The sequence below is a fragment of the Homo sapiens genome, chromosome 13 (genome assembly GCF_000001405.40).
Source record: "Homo sapiens chromosome 13, GRCh38.p14 Primary Assembly".
In the NCBI taxonomy this organism is placed as follows: Eukaryota; Metazoa; Chordata; class Mammalia; order Primates; family Hominidae; genus Homo; species Homo sapiens.
The window spans coordinates 108,903,105-108,931,072 of NC_000013.11; the positions used below are offsets into that span (position 1 = coordinate 108,903,105).

At 40.1% G+C, this 27,968-nt stretch overlaps 1 protein-coding gene across 7 annotated transcripts in view, besides 2 other annotated features; it reads left to right on the top strand.

The window, feature by feature from the left end:
* The window catches only part of MYO16 (myosin XVI), a 712,290-nt gene that overhangs the window by 407,389 nt on the left and 276,933 nt on the right, over positions 1 to 27,968 (top strand). For 6 of the 7 annotated variants that reach the window (XM_011521062.2, XM_047430183.1, NM_015011.3 and 3 more), the window contains one exon: positions 6,899 to 7,046. In XM_011521062.2, coding sequence (XP_011519364.1) covers positions 6,899 to 7,046 — 148 coding nt within the window. Of the gene's footprint in view, positions 1 to 6,898; positions 7,047 to 12,796; positions 12,930 to 27,968 lie in introns of those variants that run through there. The other variant, XM_047430185.1, reaches the window with a different exon arrangement.
* Positions 12,702 to 12,831: an enhancer, noted in NCBI's record as "active region_7989". NCBI's record gives its function as "activates an Ori minimal core promoter by ATAC-STARR-seq in GM12878 lymphoblastoid cells {active_cell/tissue: GM12878}" and the evidence as "EXISTENCE:reporter gene assay evidence [ECO:0000049][PMID:35858748]".
* Positions 16,050 to 16,219: an enhancer, noted in NCBI's record as "experimental_32390 CRE fragment used in MPRA reporter constructs". NCBI's record gives its function as "activates a minimal promoter by MPRAs in K562 erythroleukemia cells, with activity observed for both the introgressed and non-introgressed 13:109571587 variant alleles {active_cell/tissue: K562}" and the evidence as "EXISTENCE:reporter gene assay evidence [ECO:0000049][PMID:34662402]".

Here is a 27,968-nt window from a genome sequence, read left to right on the forward strand (position 1 = left end):
TATTTTACTTAATAATGGCCTCAGCTTCCTTTTAATGAAAAGGTGAAAGTTCTCAACTTAATAAGGAAAGAAAACAAATTGTATGCTGAGGTTGCTAAGATCCATGGTAGGAAACAATCTCCTACCCCTGGAATTGCGAACAGCATATTGTTATAATTATTCTGTTGCATTATTAGTTGCTGTGTTAATTTCTTGCTGTGCCTAATTTATAAATTAAATTTTATCATAGATGTGTATGTATAGGAAAAACATCATGTATACAGGGTTTGGTACTATCCTCAGTTTTCAGGGGTCCACTGGGGATCTTAGAATGTATCCACTGAAGGTAAAGGGTGACTACTGTATCTCTGTATTGATGCTATTCCCAAAGAAGGTTACATTCCAAGGTATTGAGGATGAAGACTTCAATATGTATATGTATTTTTTGTAGGGCAAAATCCATCCTGCAACAAAGAGTAACAGAGATCTATTGTATGAATTTTTACTTTAAAATGATTTTCAGTTTAAGAATGAAATCATCACTGCTCAAAAAAATAGGCACTGAACACTTTAAGAAGCTATCAGTAAATACTTTTGTTATACGTTAGTGATACTTTTAAATAATTCCATCTGCTGCCAAGACTCTTATGAAAGAAAAATGAAAAAACACATTAACTTTAACTACTTAACATACATTTTAAAGAGAGCTGAGTCATTTAAGTCAGTCCCCTGTAAAAGCATTCTGAATTGTAAATGTTCACTAAAATAGTTAATCAAATTGGAGTGAGGCTGCTCTATCTCAAACCAGGTCAAATAAGTGTTGATTACAGATTGAGTTTATACTTTATGGTGGATTGTTTTTCTTTAAATTATCAGCATTTAGGAAATAGTTGTTACCATTTTATTGGACAGGGAGTATCATCATACTAATTTGAAGGTTGATAGGTGCTGTTACTTTCATTGTTACTATTAGTTACACTTTTATAATTTAATGTCAATCTTTCATCAGCAATGTAACCACAGATCATAGTATAAAAAATACCAGGCTCAGCTTTATGAAACATGAGCTGTATATAAGTAAGGACTTTCTTGTTTGGGGGAAAATGTAATTTATAAATAGCATTCTAGTCTGGCTTCTAGTCCAGTATTTTCCCTGATCTGATTATTTATTTTAGAATATAATTATTTAGGTTCACTGGTGCAAGTGCCACTCTCCCTCAGGATTGAGTGACTTATAAAACATCGTACTATCATCACACAGACAAGTTTATAAAAAGTTACTGTATAAGTAAAAGGAAAACTTTGCCAACAATGACTTAGTTTTAGCCATACAGTACCTTTTATTTGAGACTCGAGGTAATTTGCTAATACATTGCCTGAATCCCTACAAATTTGTATTTTTCATCTGAGCATGCAAAGAGGTTTACATTGTGTGACATACAAGTCAGTTTATGATATTAATGGCATATTCATGTATGTTTTCCAAAAAGTTTTGGTCCTGAAAATATGTGTTTACAGATTATATGTAACATAACATGCAATAAAGTATTTTGTAGGGCTATACGGTTTTTGTTCATTATGAAAAAAAGTGGGGAAATAAACTTTCTTCTCCTTCAAGAAAAAAAAAGTTCCTGCCCTTGTCTTTCCCATTGACTTCCAGAAACTTCCAACACCCACTCTCATCCTGTTGCATCCATCCCCTTATGGATACATGACCACTTAGGGCCTGTTCCTGGAAAGGGAATGACAATTCTTTCTCTTCTACACAAGATCGTTCCTTGTCTTTTAAGGGTACTATAAAGTTTTCATTCACTTTAGAGTGTACGCAGTTTTTTATATAGTACACAAAACTGTCTCACCAAACATACGCAGATAAAGTAAAATAATATACTGTCTTCATTCTTATCAAATAATCACTTTATTTTTTTCGATCTTCAAAAATATGTGATAGCAAGATTTTTAATTAGCTCTTTCTTTTTCTAATTTACTCGCAAGTCACCTGTTTTCTGGGAGCAACAAATCAAGTTGTAAAACCATCTTCATACAGGGTAGCTGGGCACATGGAAAAGGGCCTTCTAGATCGAACTGCAGGTTGGCCATCGGTTTGTAAACTCAGGTGAATAGGTGAATGTCACTGATTCTCTTTACCCTGTTATAAAACTAGGGGACCAGACTCCATGGTCTCCTGTGTTCCTTTCAGCTGCTTTTCAGGTAATTGGAAATAAACCACTTTTGAAGTTGACTATTTCTAGTATCATGATGGAGCTATTAATGGTTTAATCGGGCTGCCTCTGCAAAGGAGCCAGTGCTAATAAAGGGTTGCCAAGAACACTGGCCTCGGTGCATCTTCATGAATCTTATTTGGCTGAGGGGGATTGTGAAAAGAGCATAGGACCAGCCATGTCCCAAATCTCACTTAGCAGCTAGATATTCAAAATGGAGTCATTCTGTTTATCCAAGGTAAATCTTAGCTATTGACCAGATAAGTTCTCAGACAAGAAAATGATCTCCTCTTCTGGAATATTGATTATTGAAGAGAATTCTGTTCACCAAAAACAGGTTGAAGGACTTTTAGAAGGTCACCAGGAAATACAGTATTTTATGGTCTCATATGGCTACTGTGGGTTAGGGGATGGTTTCTTTTGATGATATTGTTTCCTTTTCTTACACTTTCCTCAGGAGCTTACTTTTCTTAAACTTTCCTCAAGAGCTTACTTGTAAAGGACTGGAAGACATAGAGAGTCCATAAGGCCATGCTTTTAACTGCACCCAGAATGTGCAGAGGGCCAAATTCATCACCATCAGCAAGCATTCGGCAAGCTCAAAAGGCAGATATTTGCTTGACTCGAAGCTCTGATTTCCCTCTGTAGTCCTTACGAGCCACAAGGCCTGGGGTTGAGTCCTGGCTCATTTACTTTGTGCCCGCTGGCCTTGGGCAGCTCACTGGATCTTCCATGCCTCATTTTCTTCTTCTGTCCAAGGGGGATAACCATCACCCCAAACTCTTAGCGTTCCCATGAATATTCAGTATGTTAACATTGCTCTTTAAATCACTCACTGTTTTCTTTTTCTTTCACTTTTATTTCAAGTCTTAGGTTCTCCCATTCCCAGAAATAAGTGGGAGGAACTCAAAAGGGAGGGATGTCCAGAGTCCCCCTGAGGAATGTCGAGAATACTTGCCTTTTGATGTTTGTGCCCTGAAGGTATCCAAGGGTATTTAAGTTGAAATTGAAATTTACTAACAATAAAAAATATCTTCCAGTAAATATAGCCAGGCTATGTGTTCTATTTAGGAAATTTAAACCTTAAAATTACTGCAAATGAAATGGAAAATATATTAAGGCCTTTGCTTTGTGTTTTTTTCCCCAAATCCTGATGTTAAATAAACTAGAGGTGTAATAACAGATGAATAATCATCTTTGTTACCATCATCAATTAGTCTTAGAATTATATACTTAGCAGGACATTCTTTTAAAAGTTTTGAAATGCTTTAGTTGATCTTATGTGAAGAGCAGCATCCTTTATTGCAAACAGCCTGGGCTTAGGAGACAAGACAGTTGGGCTTAAATGTGAAAAGGCCTGCAACAGAATTTAAATGAGGCAATGTTAGAAGGACACTAGAATAGTGTATGGTACACGGTAGGTGCTTTAAGTGGTAGCATCTTCCTCTTGGAGTCCAGAGGGGCCTTGGGACACTTGCGTCTTTTCTTCTTCATGTTACTGATAGGAAAAATGAAGCCCAGAGGGCTGCAGGGATTGGCAGCATCAGACTCCAGAGTAGGATCCGTCATTTGACTCCTGTGGGAGGCACTTTCACTTAGGTTATACCACCAAAGTGATGACCACCTTGATCATGAATAATGAGATGGAAAGAAATGCATAGTTGTGAAAGAGAAAATATTTGGCTATCCGAATTCGTTGATAGTATGTTTTTGGTGCTTGCTAATTGAAGGCATGACAATACTTTCTGGAAACAGGCCCTAAGTGGTCGTGTACCCATAACTAGATGGGTGAGACATGGTGAGAGTGGGTGTTGGAAATTTCTGGAAGTCAATGGGAAGAACAAAGGCAGGAATTTTTCTTTCTTGAAAGAGCAAAGTTTATTTCCACCACTTTTTTTTTATATAATGAACAAAAGCTGTATAGCCCTATGAAATACTTTATTGCATTTTATGTTACATGTAATCTGCAAACATATATATTTTTCAACACCAAAACTTTTTGGAACGCATATATGAATATATGGACACTTGTAGAGAATTATAAGCATGTTTCTAGTCAAAAGTATTTCTGACATAAAAGAGCTTTTAAAACATACAAGTCTTGAGAAGTCAGGAGCTCAGTTAGTAGAATGTTTCTTTTTATGTATGAACACTTACATGAATGCGTCCTGAAACCTTTTTAACTTAGAAGCCCATCATACTCCTTCCATTTTTACCGTTTCACTTCAGACACAACAGAAAGATCTGCATTTCTCCATTTGAAAGAATATTAGAGTTTCATGGCAATTTGAATTTTGGGCTGTCTTGTGTTTGCTTCCATCTAAAAGCTCACTCAAGATGTATACATATTTTGAAACCCTGCTGATCAGAATTCCACTAATCCACAGCAATTTTATTCACTGCTGGAGATGAGCTAACCAGGTTGATTAATAATTACACTGTTTTTGAATTTAGATGAAATGTATTGAAGTGACTCCATGATGTGGAATTTGATTAGTTTTGAATACTGCTTCAATCAGGGCTTGCATATTGGCTGGGATAGATGGGGGTTAGCCAACCATTTCTCCAAGAACAAGATGACTATTCATTCTCCCTTCTCATCTGATATTTCATGCCTAAAGGCTAGAAAAAATGGAAGATAATTTCATTTAAAATGTCTTTAGGTTTTTAAAAAATATCCTCTTAAGTAGTAAATTAATTCAAGATGAATATTATTAATATTAAACAGAAAATGTTTTCAGCAAAGAATTTAAGGGGGAAAAAAGAAAAAAATATTTAAAACTTAACTTGAAATTGCCACCTAATTGATTCTCATAGAGACCTGTGCACACACATTCAAGCACACATGCTCATCCACTGAGGTTTACTGCTAATTCAGGGCTCCACACCACCCCCATTCTAATTTTACCATCACCTTTGGGCTTTACTGTCACCAATGAAAGGAATATTTTGAAAGACCTTTTCTTTATGCACTCCTGGCAACTTTTCCCAAAGTTGTCTCTTTATACAACTTTTCTTACTAAGGGATATTAATTTTGAAATTTTTAAAAACTGTGATATCTGATTAGCTAAATTGACCACTTACTAAATGCATTGGAAGGCATTGTAAATAGTGGTTCTAGTTGTTAGAACAGATTTGCTGTAGACAATTAAATTGGGAGACATCACATTTTTGCTTTTAGTGCTGGACTTTAGAATAATTCTTAGCAAATTCATTACATGAGTTTTTTTAAAGTTCAAATGTATGAGATAATTATAACCATTTATTTGCCTTTCTAAGAACTGCCATTCTTTAACACCCCTCACCCAAATAATATTGACAATGGATTCTTACTTCAAAGAGGAAAACTGTAATAATTCACATTTGCATTTAAAATTGAAATGCAGGTCTGGCGTGATGGCTCACCCCTGTAATCCTGGCACTTTGGGAGGCCGAGGTGGGCAGATCACTTGAGGTTAGGAGTTCAATACCAGCCTGGCCAATATGGCAAAAGCCTGTCTCTACTAAAAATACAAAAATTAGCTGGTGTGGTGACACACACCTGTGGTCCCAGCTACTGAGGAGGCTGAGGCAGGAGAATCACTTGAACCGGAGAGGCAGAGGTTACAGTGAGCCAAGATCGTGCCACTGCACTCCAGCCTGGGCAATAGAGTGAGACTGTGTCTCAAAAAAAATAAAATAAAATAAATAAATAAATAAATAAATAAAAATATAATTGAAATACATAATCTGATTATTCATAATGATAAAAATAAACCTATATTAATATTTCAAATGCTCCAGAAACAATGAAATTTTCAGCATGCCAAACATACAGTCATAATTTTGACCAACGCTAGCTTCTGAATTGCTGATCTTCATATGTAAAGCAAAATTGAGGCTGTGATTACCATATTGCATCTTTTTGGCGTTGTTGATCAACTACTATCAAATAAATTTCAACACCTTGTATTTATGCATTGGGTTATATTTTATTTTATTTTGTAAAGTTTTGAAAACAGAGGACTAAATAAACATCAGCTAGTAGTCCTATTACCGCACATGTGTGGTGAGAATAAAAGAAGATGACTACACACTGTTCACACTGGACATGTGTTACTTAATAGACACCTCATCTACCTCATCCTCAAATACATTATGTGTATTAAACTATATCTGTGTGAATTCAAATTGCATTTTCCTTTGCTGCAGTGGGTTTCCTCCAGTGTTTCTGGCAGTGAGGGACCATGGTCTGTCTCCCTGGGCCTTCATAGTGCAGCCATATATAATTCTGATCTAGTTGCTGGGAATGCTTATCAGTGCCTTTAGTGGGGCACTTTTTGAACAGTGTAAGTTAATATCCATCATACCAACATGGCCGGGACTCTCAAACAGTGGGATATTAATGAGGAAAATTCCAAAGCTTATTTCAAAGCCTTTGTTACAGACAAGAGCAAATCTTGTTTCAAATTACATTTGTGCACCAAGTTCTTTGTTGGATATGGGACAAGGAAGGATGTCCCCTTAAACCATGTCTTTTCAGCATCGTATTGAAAGTCCTAGCTAATGCAAAAAGACAATAAAATAAAATGTAAATAGATGGGAAAGGGAGAACTCAACAGTCCTTGTATCTCTTGTAATTAATTAATATGTGTTAATTTATGGAAATGAAATGAATACTGCCATTTAACAGAATCACTTTTCTTTTCCCAACCAGCCAGAATTTATACATATTTGCTAGAGAAATCCAGACTTGTTTCACAACCTCTTGGCCAGAGCAATTTTCTCATTTTCTACTTGTTGATGGATGGGTTATCTGCTGAAGAAAAATATGGACTTCATCTTAATAATTTATGTGCACACCGGTGAGTGACTAAGTATTTTGTATCTAAAAGCTATGCCTTCAAATTGTGATTGCAATTTGGTAGTCTTAAATTATCTTCTTACTTTTCAGAGACAAAATGGTGAGTAAAAGATAACTGTTGGATACTGTTAGGTTGAAACCATCCACATAACAAGGTTCCCACTGTTTCTTGAATGGGTGAAGTTGTATGTGTGTGAACAAACTTATATTTTACTAGTTTTCAGATCAGAAAAAACTTGTGCAGATATAAACTCCTATACTCCTTTTAAGTATTTTGGCTATAACATGAGTTATGCACTCCTAATCCATGGCCCTGTTTTGAGATAATGGGCAATGTTATTTGAGTAAGTATGATTATTCATTGGTGTTGGATGAAGGTACATCATGGATTAAGATGCACAGCACACATAACCTCAGGGGCTGATTTCCTTTAATGGAGGCAGAAAGCACTTGTGTTAAAATTAGGATGCCTTGGTCATAGGAGAATGATGGGAGTGACAGGCTGTATAGACAGTGAGTGAAGAATGTATTCTCAATGTTTGCACTTCTGCTAACTGCCTGGTTTAGTGTGTCTCTGCCACAGGGATGGGTCCAGATTTGCATTAGGATGAGAACAAGAAACAATATGGGAAATGAATCCTGTTCTGAAGAGAAGTTGGTGGGAAAAGAGCACAAGAGAGAATTGGATTCTGATCCAAACTCAATTCAGTGGCGGTGGGGGGCGGTGGTGGGAACTAGACTCTGAGGACATGTGGATTGACTTCAGATACCTGCTGATACCTGATTTATGGCTTATTGGGTGTTTATTATTAGATCTAGGGGAACAGTGTGAGTTTGCACAATTTTAGGAGAACTTTTGTGAGAAAAAGGATGCTATAGGAGAAAACACACACACACACACACACACACACACACACAGAGAGAGAGAAGGGTTGCTTCACTCACCTTCATGTAGTCAAGACAGTGGTTAAGGCCAAGTGCTTATTGAGAGAACAAATTGGCGGGGGGCAACTTCCCCAGCAAGCCCTCCTCTTGAGTACACACATAGGCTGCTTTAAGCCTGCAAAAAAATATCTCCAGTTCTCTCTGCTTTGCTGTGCTATTTCCCCATCTGAAGCCATTATATTCTGGTTGGGGAGATATTAATAAACAGGTTGGTAATAGTTGAGGTGATATGATGAAAAATAAATGAGGGTTGGGGAACAGAGGAGCAGGTGGGTGTCCTGCTTTTAGATACGTTAATCGAGAGCCTCCTACCAGGTAGTACCTGTGGTAGAGACACCAGAGAGGGCCGTTCACAGATCTGATGTGGTGTCCAAGGGAGATGGAAGTGTACAAGGGGCCTGAGGAAACATACTCAATGTTTGAGGGACAACATGAAGGCCAGGATCTCAGATTAGAGTTGTATGGGAAAGAGGGAGGGTAATAGAGACAACATGAAAAGAACAGCCATGGTCAGAAATTTAGATTTCCTTCAGAGTTGTCTGGAAGTGATTGGGGGTTTTGAGTATGCAAGAGAATTGGTTTTCACTTCGAAGGTGATTTGCATCTGTGGAGATGTCCCTATGGTATTCCCAGCTGGAACCAGAGAGCTAAATTCCTGGTATGGTAGTGGGGAGGTGGTGTTAGCACTCATGGTAATGGTGGTGCAGGCGATGAGGAATGGGAAAACATGGGTTATGCTCTGAAGGTAGGAAGGTCAGGATTGAAGGATGCACTGAACAAGGGATATGAGGTAAAGAGATCAAGAATGATTCCTGTGGCTGTGGCCTGAGCAACACATGGTGTTATTGTGCCATTTACCTCGTGACAAGGCTAGGAGGGAACCAGGGTGCTGGGGAGGAGAAGAGTGGCCAGAGAACCAGTCCTGCTGGTTTTAAGACAGCAAGGTGGAGATGCAGGAGTGTCAGCAGGGTACTGGAGAGAGGAGGGACTTTCCAGTGTGATGGAGCCAATGTGAGGCTGAACTCCTAGAACTGCTTGGAGAAATTACAGGACAACCTCTGTCCCGCCACTGCTGTGAGGGGTGAGTGATAGTGCAGGTGGGCTCAGAGGAAGAGAATGAATTGGCCTAATTTACAATCACATTACTAATTATTATCATTAAATTTCAGTGAAGACATCCAGGGCTATGGATATGGTTTGTCATGTTGTGTAGGTAGAAAGTAGTCAGGAAGTGTAAAAGGCCTTATCAAAATTGTGTTTTATTTACAAAGAAAGACTGTTTTAGGGTTTTCTGTTCCCAAAATACAATAGAAGTTTAGAAGAAAAAGCTAATATTAAAGTATGGTAACCCAGGCAAAAGTGATAGAAATATAAAAATTCCAAGCTTCTAGGACATTAGAAATATTTTAAATCAAATCCCTTTATATTATAAAGGAGGAAATCAAAGCCAGAGACATGAAGAAGCTTGTACTCAAGTGAATACCTTTTATGCAGCAGCAGTATTGACAAAACCCACCACCTGAGATTAACTTTGTGATTTTCTACCTTGAACATCGCTAATTGAACATGTTGACCCTGGGAGGAAGCACCTAACTGGATTCTGGGGATTGCATGTTGAGAGATAGCCTGTGAGGAAGAGAAGAGTTTTGGGTTTCTCTGCTCCCAATCCTTCTAACGAGCAACAGCTCAAAGCCTCAAGCAGATACGTAGCTTAGAGTGCATCTGTGTCTATGTGTGTGTGTCTGTGTGTGTGCACGTGGGTATGTGCTTGGCATTGCAGACGTATGGCCACTGATGAAGAAAAAGGAATAATGTAACCTATAATTTAAATAAACAATTTAACTTCTTGATCTGTGGTTTGGATGAGTCTGTTGAAGTGTGTGAGTGTGTGGGAGAAAACAAGGATTTCTGTATTGAGCTTCAATTCTGACATTCATTTCTCTTTGCAAAAAAGAGTTTGGAGTCACTTAGGCTATTTAGAAAGTCAAACAGTCAGGGGTGACTTTATGAGGAGTTCCAACAGGAAAGAACTTAGGAAGATCGTGAATAATTCAGTTCTCTTGGACAAAGCAGTTATTTTATTGAAATGTATCATAAGTATCTAATGGGTGCAAAACAACATTTTCCATGAAAATATTCACCACCCACCACCCTCCAGATTCATGAATACATCAGTTGGAGCATTTGTACAATGACAATTTCACAGGAAAACTTTAACGGTAAAGCAAGCTGTTTTTCAAGTTATAACATAGTATGTATACAGTATTTTTTGTTGTTTATGTTATACAGGTCTTCTCACATTTATAATGTTGGTGGATCTTCTCACTTTTGCAATGTCGGTTGGGTTTGAGAAGTTCATATTTGTTTAATGTTTAAATTTAGGTTGGTATCTAATCTTTATTTGGTAATTATGAGTATTAAGTTCCATAGTTTTGGAAACTGTTTGGCTTGTTCACAATTAGAAATGTAAACCTGAATTTGCGAGCTTTCTAACCTTTCACAAACTGATGGTCTTCTGAATCCCTTCCTTAAAATTGGTACCCATAGGTAAAGGATATTGCTATTTGTAAAATGCTCAATACCATATGTTAAAGCAAACTAAATATGGCTGGAGGAGGACTCCGTGCTTCTGTATTTGAGTCCTTGTGGACGAACTATAACCTAGCTTAATAGGCAGACAAGACTGAAAACCCAACTTAGGTGTATGTGCCTGTAACAATAGCTGAGTCTTGGCCAATCCCAGCGGCCATACTTCAACCACTGATAGACTGCTGAGTGTTCAGTTGTTCAAATAGAGCAAACACCAACCTGTAACCAATCCAGCTGTTTCTATACCTCACTGCCGATTTCTTTATGGCACTTCCCTTTTTTTGTCTATAAATTTGTTCTGACCACGAGGCATCCCTGGAGTCTCTCTGAATCTGCTGTGATTCTGGGGGCTGCCTGATTCTACATATATGTAGTATATCTACTATTATTAAGTAGATAATTATATCTACTATTGTTAATAATTAGTGTATTTACTATTGTTAATATATGTATTATATATACTATATTATATGTAGTATATCTACTATTATTAAGTAGATAATTATATCTACTATTGTTAATAATTACTGTATCTACTATTGTTAATATATGTATTATATTTACTATATTATATGTAGTATATCTACTATTATTAAGAATGGCATTATTATTGTCACATCTTCTTGTCTGATGTTTTTCAAAATAATATTGCTATTCCTATGATGTAGAATAAACCAGCCTACATGTGACCACATGAACACAGCATCTCTTTGCTCACTCACTTATCCCACAGTGTAGCTTTTAGTGGAATTTGGATGAAGTACACTAAGTCCTAAAGCAAACACTACAAAACTTACAAGCCTTCTTCCTTCAAATTCATTCTCTCTCTTCTTCCTTCATAGCAACTCACTAGATACATGAATCAAAATAAAATATACATGCATCAGTAACTGTGAGCTAAAGGCATATTCAATACTTATCGTATCTTATGTGATTAGACCTCCAGAGAGAAGAAAACATTGCTGTAATTCCCTTTTTTTTCTTTTATTTGCTCTGTCGCCCAGGCTGGAGTGCAGTGGTGCTATCTTGGCTCACTGCAACCTCTGCCTCCCTGGCTCAAGCGATTCTCCTGTATCGGCCTCCTGAATAGCTGGGATTACAGGTACATGACACCCCATCTGGCTGATTTTTGTATTTTTAGTAGGGACGGGGTTTCACCATGTTGGCCAGGCTGGTCTTGAACTCCTGACCTCAAGTGATCCACCTGCTTCAGCCTCCCAAAGTGCTGGGATCACAAGCATGAACCACTGCGCCCGACCTGTAATTTGGTTTTATCATTAAAGCTACAAAAGTGCTGTTTAGCTTTGACTCTGTTTTTAGAACTAAAAATGTTGAAAGTATCACATGAAAATTTATGGAGGTTTATTTCAGCATAAAATGAATGTAAAACTACTTTCCTGTTTGTAACATAGGAATGATATCTAGAAACAGCAGATAGGACGTGTGCCTAACTTTAGAATATAAGTGATACAGATATAGACATCACCTCCTAAGGCTTAGCTGCATGAAAACAGTATTTATAACACTTTGCATAAGCATCTTCCTCCACAGATTATTAAAACAACAAGAAAAAAAGTCTGTAGGTTTCTATATTTTGAGCTGTGGCAGTAAGACTGCACGGATCTGGAATTCCACAAGATGGCGAGCTCTCCATAAAGTCAGACGAGAAAAACAAAACAAAACAAAAATCCAAACCAAGAAATTAAAATAAAAACAGAAAAATGAAGAAACACAAACACAAATGCTTGTTACCAAAAGTTTCTTTTTCACTTACGGTTCTTCCTATATTGACTGCTTCCCCCTAACCCCCTCACCAGCAGCTGTTTGTTTTACAAGGGCTATTTCAATTTTTCTTACCCTTTGTATATTATACAAACGTTACATTTGGGGAACGAATGTAATTTCTGCTTTTGGGAATTGAGATTTAATGAAAGCCAGAAATAGTCATTCATTGTTTATCTTCAGCATACTTTAAATAGCTTAGATGGGTTTAGTCCCAGAAAAGCTAGGTTCCTAAATCCAAAAAGTTATTCTGAATCTCTTTTTGTATTGATTAATGGTGGAAATGATTGTGGTGCTGCAGGATAACATTTGTGAGTAAAGGTCAAATTTTGAATGCTAAGTTGAAAACAAGCAGTGTTTGACTCAGAGCATGTGACCTGTTTCTAACCCATGTGGCCATGAAAGGAAAAGCTGAGTCACCGCGCGCTTGAACTTGTGATCCTGCTGGGAGCCGTACCTGTCACGGGGAAGCCACGGCAAGCAGCTCCCGTGAAGGTTTGGTTTCTGCTAAGGGCTTATTATGAACAGGGAACCTAATCTGAGAGTGTCACATAATGTTTAAAAAGAGGTAAGGGAAAACTTAAATACTATTTGGAGGTGAGTCTTCATAATTATGTGCTATAATAAGCTGTTTACTTAGTAAGTAGCTTGAAGGTGCTCCCAAGACAAAAGTTCAAGACAGGAGGTGCTTTCACCAGATTCTCACAGACTCCATTATTAATAACCTAAGTGACAGTCACAGTCATGATCAGCACAGTTCATGGGGCACTTCCCATGTGCCAGGCACTCTCTGAAGTGTTTGTTCACTCACTGAATCCTCACCCGCAGCTAAGCAGAGGGTGCAAGGCTGTGTCTGTATTGTATAGTGAGATGTCACCCAGTAGCCAAGATCTGAATCCAGGCCCTGCTGAATTTATGCCTAAATTGTCTCCACAACAATGCTGCCTACAAAATGGCAATACTGTCTTTATCTCCTCGTGTCACTGAGATTTTAAGGCAAATGAAAGAGAAAGCACAAAGTCAAAGTCTGCATGTCTGTCTTTATTTTGCATTGCTGAAGCAAAACTAACTTACGACGTTCTAGGGATTGCCACCTCTAATGACTATAAAAACAAACTACGCTAGGTCTTTATTTTAATCTAGAAGATCATAAAAATTTTAGAACTAACAGAGCTTTTGTTACCCTAGGTGGACAGTGTAGCCATTATATGAGTGTTAGACTACCTGTGTAAGTTAGCAAGGACATTTCACTTTGAAATGAGAATGAGAGGAATTGGGTCAGTGGCTTCCGTCCTGCCTTCTGTTCTTGATGTTATATATAATAAATCAGAAGCCAGATATGTCACTTGTTCAAGGATATTTAGCTGGAATATTTGGTAAATGACAGAGGTGGATTTCAAACTAAGGTACGTTTGGTTTCAAATTTCTGTTCATTGGAACTTCTTGATTGGTAGTGTTAGATTCCCAACTCTAACACATTTAAAGAAAAAAGAAAAAGGGGGAGTGTTGAGATGAGGGCGTAGCTGAAGAGAGCGGAGGTTATGTTTGCCCCAGGAATGTGAGATGCAGAAACTCGAATGTGAGATGCAGAAACTCAAATGCGGCTTCTCTCTGTCACACTCATGCACATGGCACATGCACGCACGCACACACACACATCAGTTTTACTTTGTATGTGTTTTCTAACACAGAAGAGAACGTGACCACGTGCTGCCCTAGGCCCCCTAACTTAAGAGCAACTCGTCTCTCTGCCAAAAGGCCATCTTGGTGGCTCAGCCCAGGTCTTAGGCCCATCCCGGGCCCCTAAGTTAAGGACAGAAGGAAGAAATACATTTGGCTCCTGCGTAGGGATGGGAGCTATTTAACAGGAGGAAGGGGAAGGGAGAGCTGAGCACTAATGAGCAAGGAGCAACATGAGGCCCTGTGCTTTCCCCTGCATGGCACTCCAACTACCTGAAAGACTCCCAGCCCGGCAGGTGAAGGTCAGAATGCAAGTGTCAGTAAGTCTGGGTACCAGTTATTCAGCACTCTCTATTAGTAACTCTGGCCAAACTTATCACCTTGATTTCCAGCTACTCATACAGGACCATCAATAGTGTAGATCTATTGCATGAAGCCTATAGATGAATATTGCAATGTATTTCCACATGACTTTGATTCGTATGGATGTTTTCAAAAAATATTGTATGAGGTTAAGACAGCAGCATGATCTGCCTAAGCCACAATGTCATTAAATAGTTAGCATAAGAGAATTTTGGCCAGAGGCCCTATATTTGTGGTCTGAATATATCTCAAAAATTCAGACTTCTACATTACTTTTAAATGGTCAAATTTATTATGTGATGACACATTGTTTTGGCTGCTGTGTTGGTTTTGTTGTCACCCTTGTGATACTTCTGAAGCTAATAACAGCTGTCATTGAGCACTTCTCATAGATTTTCTCTTTGTCTACTCATGATAATTGTGGAAGATTATAATTGATTTCCCCGTGTTGCAGACGAAGTGACTGAGAACTGCGGTTGCTTTGTTAACTAACCAGCATGGGGCAGAGTTGATGTTTGAACTTCAACCTGTTCGATTCTCAATTATTTTTGTGAATGGTTTTCAAATGATTCCATATAGTAAAGGAATTTGCATCACAGATAAATTTAACTGCCTCTGCTTCAGCAAGAGAACTATTTGCTAAAATCAGCATCTTAACCCTTCTCCTTTCTTTTTCATATTTTGGATGATAGTAGCATAATTATGATTTTTATTATGAAAATAGACCATCATTAAGCCAAATATAAATATACCAAATACAACGTCATTAAGATGGTGTATTCACATAATAAACACATAAATAAACGTGTGCACACAACTGCACATGCATATAAAATTGCGCAAGAAACTACCTTCACTAAAATTTTGAGTGTCAGGCACAACACTCAGTAATTAATTCTCACTTAATTCTTCTAATAACTCTATGAGACTGTTACTAATATTGTCCCTATTTGATGAATGAGGACACTGAGTCCTAGAGGTTAAGTAGCAGCCTGCTCAAGGTCAGGCAAGGCAGGAGGCCAGAGATGGTGCCCAGTGGCCCATCTCTCAGCAGAGAGGGAGGGCCTATCTCCAGCAGTCCTGGCCACTGACTGCTAATGCTGTTTGTCCTTGAGGAGGTGACGGCCAGCTGTGTTGTTTAGAAACTTGGTCTGATGCTATGGCTCACGCCTGTAATCGCAGCACTTTGGGAGGCCGAGGCGGGCAGATCACCAGAGGTCCGGAGTTCGAGACCAACCTGGCCAACATGGTGAAACCCCATCTCTACTAAAAATACAAAAATTAGCCAGACTTGGAGGCAGGTGCCTGCAGTCCCAGCTACTTGGGAGGCTGAGGCAAGAGAATCGCGGGAACCTGGGAGGAGGTGGGGGTTGCAGTGAGCCAAGATCACACCACTGCACTCCAGCCTGGGCAACAAGAGCGAGACTCTGTCTCAGAAAACAGAACAAAAAAAAAAAAAAAAACTTACACTCAAACTTATACTCTGTTTTGACATAAAAACCTGAGGCCAATGTCCAGATAGTCACGATTTGGGGAAAACAGCTGGAAATAGACTTTTTCTCCAGATACTCAGGCTCTTTTCAGAGTTTTGTTTCTGGCCCTTGTACTTCCTATTTGAGCGAGGCCGTCTTCCCAGTCATGTGTATAAAAAAGAGGTGCCACGAGCATTGTGGCTATCATGTCTTTTTCTCCTGAGGCAGGGCAGGTGCTGGCATATTGCCATGCAGTCCCATGGCCCTGGCTGGGCCCTTCCTGCCCCACCTTCCCTCACTGCACAGCATCTTACCTTGGTGCCTCTTCAATCTCACCCTTTAATCTCAGGTCAGATTAACATATTTTGAATTTCAATTTAACTATAAAACCTCCTAACTCAAAAATCTTTAATAAATATTGCTTTTCTGTCACATCCAATGCAGTCTGCTTGATGACGCAAGGCGACAGAGATGGCTGGGCCTTGGGGAATTTGGCGTGAGCGATTGTCGTTAACCGGTTCTTTGACATCTTCTCCTTTAGGGGTGGAGTTGGTTATCATTGAGGTGACACAGTTCTTGGCTGAGTAAAGATGTTTGCTTGATGCTAGATGTGCAAGCAGTGTATTTACCTTCAGGGTATAAAAGGGAAAGTCCTTCTTGTGTTGAGAGAGAGTCAAACACTCCAGCCTCACTTCTGCAGTCAGTCAGTTAAATGTCACAAACATTCTCAGGGTTGTTATGAGTAAATAAAATTATGAATTTAAGGCATGTTGGTCTACGTCCTTGATTGCTTACTTTTAATTTCAAATTCCCAAAAGTTCTGAAAACCAAACATTCACGTATGACTCATGTGCTCATAAAAAACATGACCCAACCTGAACTTACTTAGCAACAAAATCTAAACTTGATTGATGTAAGTGTATTTATAATTCTTACATATTTCTCTGACTGTGAATATTCATATGGGGTTCTCCCCAAATTAAAATATTTGACTGGGGACACTGCTTCAAACCTACCAAGGATATAAACACTACATTCACTTTTTTAAAATCTGGATTTCAGAACATATTTGTCTTCAGAAGTTTAGGAGAAGGGGCTGTGAACTGTGTAATCCAGCTTGTTGAGGACTGAAAACATGGCAGTCATTATGTTTCTCACCAAGTTAAGGACTTACCTTACGTTGAAGGACCACGACGCAGATGTTTGCTAAAAATGGTTGATAAACCTGCTTCTGTGTCTGGACAAGGAGGCTCTGAATTCGCTTCCAAAATAGACCTCTGCCTTTTGTTCCACTCCTTTTTTTCTCTTTCTCTTTCTTTCTCTTTCTCTTTCTCCTTCCTTCCTTCTTTCCCTCCCTTCTTTTTCTTTCTTTTTTCTTTCTTTCTCTCTTTCTTTCCTTCTCTCTCTCTCCTTCCTTCCTTCCTTCTCTCTCTCTTTCTTTCTTTCCTTCCCTGTCATCTCTTTCTGTCTCTGTCTCTCTTTCTTTTTAAAAACAAAAACAGAGTTTCACTATTATCACCCAGGCTGGAATGCAATGGTGCCATCTCAGCTCACTGCAATCTCCACCTCTCAGGTTCAAGCGATTCTCCAGCCTCAGCCTCCCGAGTAGCTGGGATTACAGGTGCCTGCCACCACGCCCGGCTAATTTTTGTATTATTAGTAGAGACGGGGTTTCACCATGTTGGCCAGGCTGGTCTCAAACTCCTTACCTCTGGTGATCTGCCCACCTTGGCCTCCCAAAGTGCTGAGATTACAGGCGTGAGCCACTATGCCCAGCCATCTGTCTCTGTCTCTTTAACATTGTTTATTCCGTATAAATAAGAGATATTTATTTTCGTATCTTAAATAATGAACCATATGGAGATGTGAAAGAGGCTCAGATTTTAGAGGACACTTGCTTGACTTTGCCAGTGATTGTGATGTGGCTGGTCACTGGAGGTGTGGCCCTCATAGACCAATGCAGTTTGCAGAGCGTGGCCCAAATGTCTGCTTGGAGACCCCACTGCCATTTGAGAGGGACACCTGCACAGTTCCACATGTGTGTGTGAACCTGTCTCCTTCTTTCCAAAACCTGCCCATGTGGCTGTAGCAAACAGCATCACACACTGGACCAAGCCCGTCTGCCTCACCAGTGTAGTCACTGTTCAGCTGATATAGTCGGTGTTTCTTTTTCTCTCAACCTCTCCTGCCAGTCTCTTCCCACCTCATAGGACATCCTGCCGCTTGTACCGGGCAACCCCAAGCCACCTTGTCCACCGGGCCTTCCTCTGGGTCTGGAGTGACCACCTCTTTCTGACAGACCTGCTGGGTGGGTTGGCCTGAGCTCCTAGGAACCTGGGTGGATCATGGTCCATGTCCCAGTCCAAATCTACTCCAGCCTGGCCTTGTCCCCTTGCTGACACAGTGACCATTGGTGACCATTCTTACACATGATACATAAAATGCTCTCTTATCAGTGTGTTCCATATGCACTCCCCATCTTTGAAGTTTCCTTTGTAGCTTGCAGGACATATAGTATACATGTGGCACAGTTGAAGATAAAATGCTTTTCTTTGTCCTATTGATATAGGACATTGCAAAAATCAATTGATATACATCAATAGCTGTTAGCAAAATCATAGCTTTTAGGTGTGTAGGCCTATAAAATCGAATCTTCCATGACTGCAGCCATTTAGAGAGATTATATCCTCAATACAGGGTGACTGACTGTCTTTTGCAATTTGTGAGTATTCATTGATAACTATGCTTGAACTGTTAAAAGCAGCAGGCTTATTAGTTGAAGGCACAGAGTTTACTTAATCCAGGATCTACATCTCCCTGGCTGGGGGGTTTGGGAAAATCATGCAACCTCTCTGTGCTTCCCTTTGCTCATCTGTAGGCCAGGAGTAGCCTCAGAGTATGGTTGTGAGTGACGGAGTGAGTGCAGTGGAAGCGTTGGCTAGTATTGTCACTATTAGTGTAGAAGGCTCCTTCCCATTGGAGTCATGTGAGAATAACTGAAATAATAATTGTTATGCAAAAGTTATGATTTGGAGTTAGAGGTTTATAATACGTGGAATAAGTGGGGTCTGGTCTTGCTCCTAGCGTACGTCTCTGCCTCTGTGCGGCTCTGTCCAGAGCTGTGTCCACCCTCTCTTGTTGGACATCAACTGGGGTCTGGACTTGGATTCATCATGTAGCTGTGAGGAATTACGAATTTAAATGATTTAAAACCTAATGATGAAAATCAACCCAGCATTTTGAAGTGAGGGTGGCTGAGAATGGACAAGGAGAGGAAAGAGGAGGAAAGAGGACTGCAGAGCCCTGGGAGGCCTGTTGGGTGGGGCAGCCAGAACCTGGTTACATGCCAGCGCAAGGCTCAGCTTCTGTGTGTCCCTCATGGCACAGGGACAGAGAGGGCCACGCTGCTGAGAGAGATCTTTAAAAAGGCAGCAATCGAACACTTCTGTAAAACTCCCTCTTTCACGTCTTCCCTGGTACAAAAAAAATTCCATTCTCATGGCTTAAAATGCTTTGATTTTCTGTACCAGCTAGAGGAGGAAAAAAGAGAGACTTTCTTCACGTCTAAAATCCGGTGCTTATGTAATCAGAGATGGCGAAGTCAATAAGATTTGGAATGTGCGATTTGCTGTCATCTGTCAAACTCTTCAGGTGGAGCCTATCAGGTTCAAACCAGACATACGTCGTAGGAGTTATGGGTGGTTTTGGAGTTGATGACATATTGTGGATATTTAGGTAGAATCCTATGATAAAAACAAAATGTGTGTTTATGTGTGTGCACAGGAATCTGAAATGACCTTCTATGCCATAATAGGAATTAGCACTTTGAATCTAATACTTTAAATCATGTAATTAAAATGACAATAACCAACATTTGTTCAGCACTGAGTTTAGGAGGGAGACTATACGAAAACCTTGACATATGTTATCTCCCCCTATCCACAGCCCAGTCTAGAAGCAGGTTGCTCCCCTTGCTACTCATGAAAAAGCAAACACAAAGAGAGGTTCCATGAACCTCCCAGTCACATGCTAGGAGCGTGAGAGCCACGGTTTTGTTTGGGCTTCTCTTACGCACTTCACAATTTGCCTTTCAAACCCTGATTCGTAAAAACAGGTGAAAGATTTTGTGGCGGTATTTGCAATGACCCACAAAAGGACAGGAGCACCTAGAGTAAGGGCCACTCACAGGGAAGGAGAGGCCTGAGCCCCTGAAGACCTGGGGGCTGCGTGTATCCATCTTGTGCCCCAGTCCAAGGTGTCACTCTCGCAAGATGCGGGATGACCTCAGAACACGGTTGAAAACAGATAGGAATGGGAAATTCAGACACAGGAGAGAAGGGAGCAATTACAGGAACTTGTAATAAGGTGAAGGCAGTACAGCTCAGTCATTGCTTTTGCTAGCAGTTACTGACACTAGGAGAGTTATTTCAGAGGAGGGGGACAGGTGAAGCCAGCACTGTTTGGAGCAGTGGAGGGATCCGTCCAGGCAGACTGGTAAGGGCAGTGGGGTTTCCCACACAGCAGGCGCTGCCTGGACAGCGAGGAAGGAGAAAGGAGAGGGAACACCAGCTCGGGCTGGTATGGCCAACCCGCTGGCCAGCGCCTCACTACCCACCTCGGTGTGGGGCCCTCGCCTTCCTGCTTTCACTGCCCCAATGCGGCCGGGGTGTTTGGGTCCGGAGCCCTCAGCCTGCAGACCTCTCTTCCCCCTCTGCTTCTTAGTGTCTCCTTTTCCTTGCAGATTCAGGATTCTCAGAATTCAGGCTGAGCACTTTTGGCTTTTCTGTCTTTGGCTTGTTTGTGTGATTCTGCCACACCGTGACTTCATAGTAAACCTCATCAACAAGCATACGTAGATTTTGCATTTTACATGAATTATTCTTAGATCAGCATTTTTTCCCAGCCAGCATTTGCATACTGTGATTTTGGAACTGACATATTGGCATTGTTGTATAGGCCGTTACATTTCATGTTGTTAACTTTTTCCGTTTTGACATTGGTATCTTTTTACTATTGAACTCTTTGGGCCATGAAGCTTCCTCATAAAATCTTAGAGACAGAAAAGGGTTTCTGCCATCTTCCACCATCAGTTTAGGGCCATAAAGTCCAAAGATATGTTAAAATATGCCCAGTAATCTCTATGTTTATATACATTAAAAATTCATTTGAGTAGGATACTTGGCCCTATCATTTTGCCCAGCTGGACACAACAGAATATGTGCAAAGTGTCACGAGATATTGTAGCCATGTAAATAGTGATGTGATGCAGTCATGTGAATGTGTGTCAGACCATTCTTCCTGGGACTCCAATCTAAACGAAGCTTCCAAAACAGCTTAGAGCTGAGCTCCTGCTTTTCTGAGTCACGGGAAAGTCATTAACTGTGCTTCCCACCTTCCAACTCTACAGAGTATCTTCCCCTTTGCAAGTACAACCTGCTGAGCAATCATCCTAATAAGGTGCTCCAGGGAGCCACCCTCACCCCGTGTTGTCAGAATGGTCGATGATGCTTGAACTTCAATAGGAAGAAATGATCATTATTCAAGTCAGGTACTTGAATACATGATTCCTGAGTACGAATGGAATCGCTTAGATCCAGATTCAGTAGAACCATGTTCCCAGACGTACCCTGCTTACTGATTTATAAGTGCTGTGTTGTTTTTCATTACTTTAGTCTCTGTATTGCTAGCTAGGGCACTTCCTTGTTATACAAAGGAAGACAGTGGCAGTTGCCTGTGCACACCCACAGGGGTCTTCCCAGCAACACAGCATGGCATGGCGACTCACTCCTGACGTCACGTCTTCTGCTATCAGTCAGGCTAGAGGGTTTTGTTCAGCTTAACGTCTGTTGCCGCACCCTGACGTATTCAGTTTAACCTTTTCACGTTAATTCATAGCAGCGAATAAATGATTTCTGAATTTTGTTGCTCTGAATGTGTCATCTCTTCTTAAATATATTTTGGTGGCTAAAACAAACCCGTTTTCAACATAGGAAAGGGCCGTACTTGTCTTTCTGGGAATAGAAGGTGGGAGTTCATGGGCCCATGTGTTTTCCTGCCACTGTGTTGTTCAGAATTAAGTACACAGAGTCATTTTTTGGATTTTGCTGAGCATCATCCAGAGGCACCCAGAGCCAAGGGAAGTTGAAGGTGGAGTGACTTGGGTGTCCTTGATTCTGAAAGGGCGGCACTCTCTCACTGGTCCCGGCATCTCTCTGTGGGCATCCTTTAAGATGTTTAACTTATCTTTTAAAACAATGAAGTCATTGTGGTGTGTTTGCTTTCAGGAGTGACAATGGGGCAATTGGGGCGAGTGTCACAGAGATGAACTAGAGTTAAACCGAGCTCCGCCACTCCTCTTCCTGTGCTGCTGAGCACATTGCAGGCTCTCTCTGAACCTCACCTTTTACTTACTTGTTGGTAGAGGTAGTATGGATGGTCTTAAATTATTGACGGTGGGGCCAGAGATAAGTAAGTATAATATGATTTATAAGTGCAAGTAATTAAATAGTGGTAGTATAATATTTTATTGCAAATCTTTAATGGCTTTGGGTTGAACATTTTGACTTTCTCACCTAAAGAACCTGGTTCCCCCACCAAGTCTTCCCTGTCCCAGTAAATGGCATCTCCACTCACGCTAAAATCTGGAATGTTATTCTTGGCTCTCATCCTTCCTCTCACACCAGCCCATCGGCAAGTCCTTCTGGCTCTGCCTCCTGAACATGTAACAAACCCGTCTACGTCTCTCCATCTCTCTGCTGCAGTACAGGACTTCGCTCCCATCATCTCCCACCTGAAAGTCTTCAAGCCTTTCTGTTGGACTCCCTGACACTGACTGGCCCCCATGAAAAGTCATGCCCCACTGAGTGGTTCAGAGTGTGCTTTCTAAAGTAGAAGTCTGATCCTCTCACTGACCCCTTCCTGCCCCCATTAAAGGCTTCCAGTGTTTCCCTTGGACAGTAGAACAGAATTCATCCTCCTCCCCTGGGCCCTTGCAGCCTCCCTTCCAGTCTCTGCCACTGTCACCAGGATGCCACTGCAGCCACCTTGTTCTGACCGCACAAAGACTCAGAGCCGCGTGCTCCATGGCTCGTCCTCCAGACCTCCATTTGGAAACCTCCTTAATTTTCAGATCTCTACTCAGACATCCTGTGTTGACAGAGGCCTTCCCAGAATGAAATACACTGACGTGTTTCAGCGTGTGTACTGACCAGAGAAAGGGAGGTGTCTAGAAGACCAGCCATCCAAGAGGCTGCAGAGGCGACCAATACCAAGGAGTCTGTTGCACAGAGTCGCAGTCTTCACTCTTTCTATCTCCGATTCAAAGAGTAGCTATTATCTATTGTATTTGAAGTACAATGCTCCTTTCTGAAGATGAAAAAATAAGAGATGGTCCCTGCTCTAAAGTTGCTTAAAGTCAAATTGTTCAAAGTCTAAGTCATAGCATATAGGCATCAAATTGCAATGTGAGAAACATCCCCAACATATAACTGAAGAATCTCGGGTGCACTCAAGGAGGCATCGTGCTCAGGCGCAGGAGAAGTGAAAAGCAGGGGTCGGGAGCCAGCCAGAGAGAAACGAACACACAGGACTCTCCCGAGGGCTTCATGAAAAAGTCACCAGGAACAGGAGGGCGTGAGTGGAACCTGTCATCTAGAGACCAGCAGGCTAACATGGAAAAGGAGAAATAGGAGTGATGTTTTCTCAAGCAGTTTTTGGAGAGAAGTAAGAGCAGTGCCATCGACATTCACCAGGGGTGGTGGCCTCATCCCAGAAAGGCTCTTTCCTTACTGGAAGAATAAATCATCAACAGTGAAAGCACTGATGAAGTTGATCCAATTCACAATCAATGCTCCTTTTGAATAGACGGTGTTAAACAACATCTTTTAAAAAAAACATACCACAGAAATAATTTATTTTCAGATTGCACGTAGTTCTGTTTAGGCTACAGGCACTGTCAACTGTGATAAATACTAAAATGAATTTCTAGAGTCCCGGTATGGGAAAGGCCCCTGGCACGGTGCATATCTCAGAGTGTAGCATGACAACAAGGTACACACGTGGCCCTCAGTCAAGAGCCATGTCTTGGATAGCATGACTCCCGAGTGAACAGAGGTGAAGCCATCTGTCAACAACTGAAGAGAGAGAGAGAGAGAGAGAGACTGTCCCAGATGAAGATATAGCACAGGAAAAAACACACTTAGAGAAAATGAGTGTGCCAGCCCCAAATGCCAGTGATTCTCCTAAGTGAGATGGTGGTAAATAATGCATTATATTTGCATTTTCGGCATTTAGAATCTTTTCTCCTATTTGCCTTCCTCCACCCAACAACAAGGATGATCTTTCTAAATGAGTGATTTTTCAACATCCCTTGGCGAGTGTCATACCTCTGAGGCCTTTGACTTCCTGATGCCTCTGGTATAATGGGCCTGGGGCATGAGCCAGGCACTGGGACTTGCCATCCTTGATTCTCACATGCCCTGCTGAGGACCCCTGCTGCAGGCCAATTAGGTGCAGTGGGAGCCACCCTTCTAGAGCTTCCCAGAACACCCAAAGACATCCCAAGATTTCTGGATTGATTTTCAAATAAGGCTTTCTGACATGGAAGTATATTTATATTTTACATGATTTTTGAAATTTCATGAAATTTTCTCTGAGATGAGGGAGGAGACATGCCACATGCTCTGCAGCGTGTGAAAATGCCAAGCGGACGGACAGACATGGCTCTGTCCTTGCGCATGCCCTGGAGGTGTGGAGCCCTGCACAGGAATTCAACTAACCCGAGCCATCATGACAGTTCCACGAGGCAGGCGTTTCCTGCCCTCTCCACGGATAAGGAAATAAATGCAAGGCAGAGAGATCTGCACTCCGGAGTGCCCGAGGTCACCGGGCCAACGCGTGCACCTGGCCTGGAGCCTGAGCATGCGCTCTAGGCTGCACCATCTCGCGCCACCACACTGATTTCCACCAGTTCAGTAAAGGGGCCAGGAATTGCCCAGCAATGGCTCTGCCTGAAGCACTAGGGTAAGGTTTCTAGAACCTTCTACCCTTCCATCTCCAGCCTGTCTCCTTCTTTGCTCTGCGTTTCACAGTCACATCTTCCAACAGATGCCGATGCGCTTGCCTTCTGGGGCTTTTCTCCTTTCTCTACAAGGAGAGAGGGATGGGAGCAGCTTCCATGAAAGAGAGGAAGCTGGGCCACAGGGAGAGATGGGCAGAGATGATGGGACCAGCCTGGAGGTGAGGAAGTGTGTACCGACGACAGAGGGGCAGAAAGGCCAATGCAAGTGCCAGACGCCCCATCACGTGTCCGGTAAATGCAGGCGTCCATTCAGCTACTGGCAATATGGTTACGGCACTGTGTCATTATATTACATGATGTAGTCTATTAGCTAGGGATCTACAGCAATGTTATATAGAATATTATATGTTATGGCATAGGATGTATAATTACATATAATAAAATGGTAATTAATATTCATAATGCCATGTGTTTTATCTCTGAAGAGCAACATGGAATTCTTGCATTTGAATAAGTCATGTCCAGTGGATGTCAACGTATAAGCAAAGACTAACTTCTGATACACATAAAGAAGTAAATATACAAATGACTGAAAGAGAAAAGAATGGAGTCGTTTGTTAGGTAAAAGGAGTGTGTGTGAACTCCTGTGTACATTTACAATTTATGTCAAGGACCACACCCAATACTATAAAATAAAAATTCATAGAAAGGGAATGGACCTAAAGCTGTATTTTCTTTTCAGCTTAAAATGCCTAAAAGTAAAATAATGAGCAAAGATATGACAGGTAAGCCAATGATAGCTTCATACCAAAATCTGTACTTTTCATATCAAACTATATTTCAGACACGTGCAGTACAGTTATTTTAAAAATGGCCATATTCAGGTCATGGATTATAGCTTAATAAATTTACAAAATCAGAAATTGTACAGGGCATATTTTCCCTCCATAATGTAATAAAATTAGAAACTAAATACAGAAGTAAAGGTAAACAAAGTCACTAGAAAACTAAATGTTGATAATTGGTAATGAAAACAAAAGGTATAGTCACATATACAGTGATACTAAATAAATAAAAATGCTTTGTGCAGATCTAAAATTAACTGTAAATGAAATTTTTAAAAAATCAAATTATGTGAATAACATAGAAGAAACCAAGACTGTTTCCATCCTGAAGGAGCCAAACTCAGGAAGTTCCTAAACATGAACTTTTAAATCTTCAAAGAATACAAAATTGTTTAAACCATTACAAAAATTAAAGATGAAGAAATCCATGGTTCCTTTTCCAGAAGGCAGCATATGCACAAGTGAAAAGCTGAAGTTCCAATACATATGTGGAAAGATGCATATTCCCACAAGTAATGAAGGATTTGGAAATTGAAAGAATAATGAGGTACCATTTCACAATGAAAACATTTTCAATAATAACAAAAAGCAGGTAATATGAAAATAGACACACACACTCCTAATGAGGGTTTAAATTAGTACAACTAATTTGAAGAACAGTGCACAATATTTGGTAAAGTTGGAAATGTGCATAACACACCATCATACATATGATAGTTGATCTTACTCCACGGAGCACACCTGGCAATATCTGGAGATTTTTTTTGGCTGTCACAACTCAGGAGAGGGGATTCTGGAACCTAGTGGGTGGAGTCAAATTCCAGAATCTAGTGGGTGGAGCACAAGGTCCTGCCTTCCATGGGAGGACCCGACTGCAAAGAGCTATCCGACCTCACATGGCAGCTGCCCAGTGTTTGAGAAATCCTGGCACAGAGAAACCCACACATGCATTAAAAAAAAATGTACTTAGCTATTCACTGATGTGTCTCCTGAACATGCAAGTAAAGGGAAAAGAAAGTAAACCATCATAACTAGGGAAATGAATAAATTAATCTGATTATAATTGTGGCACTTTAAAATAGTTTAAATAAATGAACCTAAGCTATATGCATGAATAAGAATAGATCTATAAACCTAAAGTCAACAAAAAGCAATTTGCTGAATGATGCATGCACTATAAATAACATTTTCATAATTTTAAATGCCCATAATCTTATTTATTTTATAGGTATGTACACATATAATGTGAAAACAGTTTGAATAGACTGAAAGCATATTGCAAAATTGATCATTCTTACTTCACCAAATAAGGGGATAATTGTGTATAGATGGATTGTTAACTTTATCTGTGAAGTTTATTTGTAAAAAGCAAAACTGAAGTAAATATGGCTCAGTGTTGCTATTTTCACACTATTGGAGAATGACATTGGCTGTCTTTATAGTTCTCTGTATTTTTAAATTGTTCTCATTATCAATTTTTTAATTAAAAAATCCAGCATATCTATGACACCATGAAATGAAGAGATATATCAATAATAGATGGTTATTTGACTTACAAAGATAGAGACATAATTAAAACAGCAGCAAATATAATCTAGCAGTCCATTAAATACTCAATGATCAATCATAGGAAATTTAAGTCTTAGTATATATTACATCCATAAGTAAAAAAAGAAAAGTCAATTGGCCATTTCAAAAGGTGCCAAAAGGATGATAAACGTCACTTCCCAAATCTTATTTTAAATTAGAAGTAAAAGGAGTATTTCACACACAAAAAAATTATGCTAAGTTCCCAAGGAGATACCACCCTTAATTGTGAAGTAAACCCTGTATCTTTTTAGCATTGATCCTCAAGTTTTAATCAACATAAGAAAAGAAATGAAATGAATAAAAATTACCAAGAAAGTTAAGACTATAAATACCACTATTTGTAAATAATATGTTTGTCCACCTAGAAAAATCAAATATAAATAAACCAATGGGAAAGCATTTGCTCTATACTGTATTTTAGTAAAGTTTGAGTTATAAAGTAAACATATGCAAAATTGAAAATATCACATATATGTGAGCCGTAACAGTTTAGATTAAATAGATAAATGGAAATAGTTCTTTTTAAGATACTGCTGAAGTATAAAATATCTGTGAATGAAAATGAATCCAATGAAGACACTCCCAGAGAAACTGCAGTCATGAGAGGAGGATGTCTGAATCGCTGGGCTCCCCTGTAA